The sequence below is a fragment of the Homo sapiens genome, chromosome 14 (assembly GCF_000001405.40).
Source record: "Homo sapiens chromosome 14, GRCh38.p14 Primary Assembly".
Taxonomy (NCBI): Eukaryota; Metazoa; Chordata; class Mammalia; order Primates; family Hominidae; genus Homo; species Homo sapiens.
The window spans coordinates 63,312,582-63,319,186 of NC_000014.9; the positions used below are offsets into that span (position 1 = coordinate 63,312,582).

Genomic DNA, 6,605 nt, shown 5'->3' on the forward strand with positions numbered 1-6,605 from the left:
TCCAGCCCCATATCCTAATTACATCCCATGTGTTTAAATCATTAGCATATTATAAGTCCAAATTGGGGGAGGATTGTGATACACAAATTATGTTCCAAGACTCAAGGCAAAGAAAAATTAATTTGCAGGTATGTGAGCTGGAGAAATTATTTTGGTGAAGGCACGAATATTGTTTTGAACTTTTAGCATAAGTAGGCTGCATTTGGGCCTTTTGCCTGAGCTGGACCTAAGGGGCGACAGGTAACCTCCTCCATGGGTGTGGTCGAAATTAAACAGTCTTGCATCCAGGAAGTATAACTGCATGTGCTGCTCACACAGGTGGGTCTGCAGAGAGCAGCTAGCGGCCTCAGATGGTCTCACACTCCGTGGTGGCAGTGGAGCAGGCTCCGCAGTCACAGCGGATGGCCACGGGATAGGTGTAGAAGGGGTCGACTCCCGGGGCACAGTTGGGCAGCTTGACAGTCACCTGTTTGGTCTCGTTGTAGGTACAGACTCGATGATGGGCTTCAATATAGGGGGGTTCCAGAATGGGTTTCTGTCCCCATAGATAGAAAACAGAGAATTCATTAGAACATATGATCTTGTTTCAGTTTTTTAGTATCATTTATCACTATCAGAAATTAACTTGTTATTCGTTGATTTACTTGTTGCTCTGTCGTCTCCCAGTAGAAAACAAACTCCTGAAAGCAAGAAGCTGATTTCACTCAAGACCATATTCTAAGCTCCCAGGAGAGACCATAGCACACAGCAAGTGCTCCATGCATAGTCAGCAAATGAATCATCTTAGTCATTGCAAATACCTTCTAACTGGTCTCCCCTCTTCCATTTTTACTCCCTACAATCTATTTGCAACACAGCGGCCCTGAGTGATCCTGTTTAAACCTAAGTCAGATCATGTCACTCCTCTGCCCAAAGCCCCAGTGATTTCCCATCTCACTCAGAACAAACATCAAAGACCTTATGATCACCTTCAAGACCTACATCACCTTCTCTGCAACTCTACCTTCTGAAATGCCTGCAACCATTCCCACCTCACTGACTTCCTCACTAGGCTCACGGCGGTCTCCTTATTGCTCCTCTGACCCACCAGGAACAGCCCCAGCTCAGGGCCTTTGCACTTACCGTTCCTTCTGCCTGGAACATTCTTCTCCCGTATGATTCACTCTTTCACCAACCTTGGGTTTTTGTTAGAATGTCACCCTCTCAGGGAAGCATTTCCTGACCATCCTATTTAAAATTGCAACATTCCATCTCCATGCCCAGAAACTTCCCATCCCCCATCTTGCTTTATTTTCCACCACAGCACTGATCAATACCACACGACGTAGTCTACCTTTCATTCGTGTGATATTCCTCCCACTCTAGAAAGTAAGCTCTTTTAGGACAGAGATTTTTGCCCACTGTGCCTCAAGTACCCAAAACAGACCCCGGGAGAGTTTCAATAACTATTTGTCATTGAATCAATGAAAGAAAACATTACAAGACAGGTTCCCGAATACTCTGTGCACTGTTCTGATCATCAAAAAGATTCATTTCCTTCCTTCACCTTTTATAAATCTTAAGTTCAAAGACAATTTTGATAAACAGAACACACAGATCAGAAAAAATATCAGCACCTAGCTGGAGTTAAAATCTCGAGCCCTGCAGTCAGAACTAAGGAGCTTGAGTCCCTGTTCTGCCACTTGCTGGAGACCTTGGAAAATCCACTTAACTTCCTGAAGACTCAAGTTTCCTCCTCTGTAAAACAAAATAGCTACCTCCCACCATTGTTTGAGAGATAAGGTAAGATGATATACGCAATGCACAATGTCTAGAACAAAGTAAATGTTCAAAAAATGCAATCCATTTTTTTTTTTTTTGAGACGGAGTCTTGCTGTCTCCCAGGCTGGAGTTCAGTGGCGCAATCTCAGCTCATTGCAATCTCCGCCTCCCGGGTTCACGCCATTCTCCTGCCTCAGCCTCCCGGGACTACAGGCACCCACCACCACGCCTGGCTCATTTTTTGTATTTTTAGTAGAGACAGGGTTTCACCATGTTAGCCAGGATGGTCTCGATTTCCTGACCTCGTGATCTGCCTGCCTCGGCCTCCCAAAGTGCTGGGATTACAGGCGTGAGCCACCACGCCCAGCCAATCCATTGTTCTTATTAGTGCAATTATTATAAGAAAGTAATGTAAATAATAACAAGCTTTCAAATGACAGTACCTTTGCTTTTTGGTTCTTCTTTGTTCTAGGCAAAAAAGAATATATATACATATGTAACTCAAGATGTTCTTGCATGAATGTCATGAAAATAGCAGCCTTACCTTTTTTTTTTCTTTTTTCTTTTTTTTTTTTTTTTGAGATGGAGTCTCACTCTGTCGCCAGGCTGGAGTATAGTGGCATGATCTTGGCTCACTGTAACCTCCACCTCCTGGGTTCAAGCAAGTCTTCTGCCTCAGCCTCCCAAGTAGCTGGGACTACAGGTGCATACCACCATGCCCGGCTAATTTTTGTATTTTTAGTAGAGACAGGGTTTAACTCACCTCTTTACTAAAAACTGGCCAGGCTGGTCTCGAACTCCTGACCTCATTATCCACCCACCACAGCCTCCCAAAGTGCTGAGATTACAGGTGTTAGCCACCACGCCCGGCCAGCCTTGCCTTTGACAAAGACCAGAAGAGCTGAATTTGTCCTGAACTGTTTTCTCCTACCTTCCCGTATTTGCTTTAAGTCCTCTTACCATTAGTACTCTGGGAACCTAGGCAGACCAAACGCCCCGTAAAATTTCATTTTCAGATACATAATTTTTTAGTATAAGTCATCCCAAATACTGTATGAGACAGACAGACTTACGCTAAAAATTTATTTATTATTTATCTTAAATTCCAATTTACCTGGGCTTCCTGGTTTTCTGGTTTTATTTCAGTTTGGGTTTCTGTGGGGAGGGGATTGGTTTTGTTTTATTTTGTTTGTCTGTTTGTTTGTTTGCTAAATCTGGCAACTCTATACCCAGATTATGAGGAATAGCTATTTTCAACAACCTTCAAATGTAAATCCAGCCAGCCTGTCATCATGAACATCCTTATTTTCAGACATGCTTTCAGTTAAGATCCCCCCCACCAAAAAATCAAGTGCTTTATAGCGCAGAAACTTTCAGATTGCTGGGAAAATGAATCTCATTCTTTTATTTATTTTCTATAGGTAACCTCCCTTTTCATAACACAGTCAAGACATGAATGAAAGCTGGCTAACATCAGGGAGAATCTTGTTCTTTAACGGTTTTGGTGTTTCCATCTTTCCAGTGAGAGCACAGTTCCTGACCTCCTATGGGTGACCATGATCCAATTAAAGACATTCATCAGTTTTTAAAAAGAAGAGAAGATGGGCTGAATCGAACGGAAGCAGGAGTTTGAGGATTTGGCACAGAGAGGGCTTCAAATAGCCCAGACACTAGATGCGAACAGGGAGAGGCCCTGCCAGGCCAGTCCCTGAACAGGAGGAGGTGCCAAGTGCCCCAGGTGAATTTGCTGCCAATTGACAGGCAAAGTCTACTTAGCAAAACCCGATTTTCATTGGGCTAGTAGGGCTCAAGCCCCTGAATGAGGCAAAAGAAAACTACTTTGATAGAGTAGTTTCATCCAATTTGGAGATTTCATCACTATGACCCAATTCCATTCACAGGGCCGTAATTGTACCTAAGCAAGAGCAGGTTACCCTCTGGGTCCCCAAAGAGAAGGCTATTTTTCCCAATGGCAGTGTCCACTCACAGTGCAAGTGTGATTCTAAATGGCCTTCCATTAGGCTGGAGGATCTACAGCTCCAGGGGGAGGTCCATCCCAGTCAACCAACAAATGTGTATTGAATGCCTTGTTCATACACGACATCTTGACAAAAGCTGTGAAGGTTATAAGAATGAACCTCTGTCCTGAAAAAATTTAAATCACGCGTGTGGTGGGGGAGGAAGTAAGACGAAAAGTAGAGCATAGTCAAGGGCTTACCTGCAAGTCAAAAAAGGCCCAGAAAGGGAGCTGGCACTGCAGATAGGCATCAGGAATAAATATGATAATGACAGATGGGAAGGAGAAGGGATATGAGGGAAGGAACAAAATGAGATCCATAAGGGCTATTTGATAAAACCTTTGAAAGTCACTTACCAAGGCCAGAGTAAGAAAATGTGCTGTCTCCAGGAAAGCAGGCAGACGCCATATTGCTGAGCACCTTGAAAGTTAGTTATTGAATCTGTAGTAGTGTGTGGACATTCAAGGTTTTTGGGCCAGGGAGTGACAAGATCAGAGACAGCACTTCATTGGTTACCAAGTGGGCAGGCCTCAGGGGGAAGAGCCCACAGTCACTACGTAATGTGATCTGCTGGGGTGCTGAATAGCTCTCTTCCTCTTCATCACTCAAACAGCTCCTCTTAGCCCAATAGGATTTTAACTTTGTTTGAGAGTGTTATCTCCACTTTAAATTAAATGTCTCTAAAAAGGCCAGGTATAATTGAATATGAAGGAACTTAATGGATCCGTCAGTGATAACCCCAGAGGGCTCCCAGAGACTTGAGGAGGAAAAGGGCTGCAGAAGAGGCAGTGAAGGGGTCTCACCCTTCACTGGGACCAACGCTCACCCTTCAGCTCAGGGCCTCTTTCTTGGAAACTGGCTAATTTATCCAAAATGAGGAAACATAGGGAGGAGTTTGGGTCACAAGCTTGAACCACAGATTGATTCCCAGCTTTACACTGACGCTCTACGTGACTTTGCAGCCACTCTCCCTTGAATCCCTCCATGTCATCTGTAAAACGGGTAGAACAGTACATCTTGACCTCCCAGAGATGATTCCCAGATACATAGACACAATGTAAACCAAATTCTTAACCTTATCAATGCTTTGTTAGAGGGGCAACATCATGTTTTTCAAATCACTTTTGGAAGATGCCAATCATAGTTTTGTTTTGGTTTTTTAAGTCCACAGGAAAGGGCAGATGTCCCAGCTCTACCTCATATCATTTAAAAAGTGAACTCTTAAGAATCAGACCCAAGCTGCTGGCCTAGAAGACACTGTCATCTGCACAACTTAGCAACTCACCTCCCAGGTCTCACAGCGACCCCAGCAGGCATCCGTGGTGATCCGAAGGCCCCTGCAGCCTGGCTTCTTGGCCAGGAAAGTAAACTCCCTCACGGCACAGCCCACAAAGGTGCGCAGGTTCCCACTGGAGGCACCGAGGACACAGCCATAGCCAGCCAGAAGGAGGAGGGCCATGGGGCCAAGGAAGAGGAATGCCAGCTTCATGCTGCTCTTCCGGAGAGGGAAAGGACAGAGTTTAACAGATCTGGCTGCCTTCAATGGCACAGCCAACCATGCATTTGTCACTATCAAAGGGACCTTGCTCCTAGCATTTCAGGGAAAATGAGCCCAGAAATTGTAAATGCCCACAAACTCCAACACAGGCATCCAGAGATTCCTGTAACTGGTGCCAGTGTGGATTCCATGGCCCTCTCTAGATGCCCATCCTCCAAGTGCATTCTCAGGCTTTTCCTTATTGTAACTTAACTGCTGCAGTTGACTTGTGTGTTAAAGAAGTTTGTCCCAGTGGTCTTTCCAAAATAAACATAAAATATGAGTAACACCAAAACTAATCCATAATCCAACAGAATACATGAATACATATAAATTATTTTTATTCAGGTCCAGGGTATTTGGGTGCCATGTTACATACTTTGCTCAAAACTATATTTTCAGTGTCATGATGGGGAATGATTTGGAGGGGTTGATAAATATTAATAATAGTATTCCCTATATGCATCGTTACTAAACCAACTCACCACTAAACATGGATATGCAGAAGATATCATGAAACCTATCACCTGAGTTGGTGGCCATTCATAAATGTGTCCTACTCACTGTAAATTGCTTCTGCTCTAGGCTTCCACTGCAACAGCATCTACTTATGATTCAATTTAAATCCAAATGATGGAAAGCATAGGAGTTATTTAAAACATAACCTCAATCCACCGTCAAGTCCACCCTCTCTGGGTCTTGGTCATTCCCCGTGCTCTTTCCGGAGCCAGAATCAACCCCCTTCATGCTTGGCCCACTAGACAGAACTCACGTGGATTTTGAAGTATAAAGGATATGGCATTCATGGACCTTTACCCCCTACTGAATTCATTATTCTCACAGTTCCTACTTCTGACCTTACTGTAGCAAGTTCTCTGGGCTTCCCCTCCTCTGGAATGAGGTTACAAATACGGAGAAGCACTTACCTAATCTTGCAGGAGCCCACTCTTCTTTTAGAGCTGAAACTTGCACTAAGATTTCAGGAAGTCACAATGAATGGTAGAAGTTTGCCCTGGGTAAATGTCTCTACCTTCTGTTACTGGGCTGCTTGATTGCTCAAATATATAGGAAAAGTCTTGTCAATCAAAACAAAAGAGAGGCAGATCCTTACAGGAACTACTAAACACATCAAAGCCATGGAATAGAAAGCCAGTCTCTATTTTCCAAAACTGATTAACTTAAAGGGTGTTGTTTTGTTTCTCAACATCACCTACTGAAATAGAAAGTTACCTTGGTGGGTGGCATAATCCTAAGGAAATAGTCAGAGGTAGTTCCACCTGGTTCTCAGG

General features: G+C 43.9%; 1 protein-coding gene across 1 annotated transcript; it reads right to left on the reverse strand.

Moving 5' to 3' along the window:
- Positions 1-253: 253 nt before the first annotated feature.
- GPHB5 (glycoprotein hormone subunit beta 5) lies at positions 254-6,354 on the reverse strand. Its single transcript, NM_145171.4, has 3 exons — positions 6,243-6,354; positions 5,065-5,269; positions 254-535 (listed from the first exon to the last, which is right to left on the reverse strand). The coding sequence occupies exons 2-3, from the start codon at positions 5,266-5,268 to the stop codon at positions 347-349; spliced, it is 393 nt and encodes a 130-aa protein (NP_660154.3). The 5' UTR covers position 5,269; positions 6,243-6,354; the 3' UTR covers positions 254-346.
- Positions 6,355-6,605: the final 251 nt, after the last annotated feature.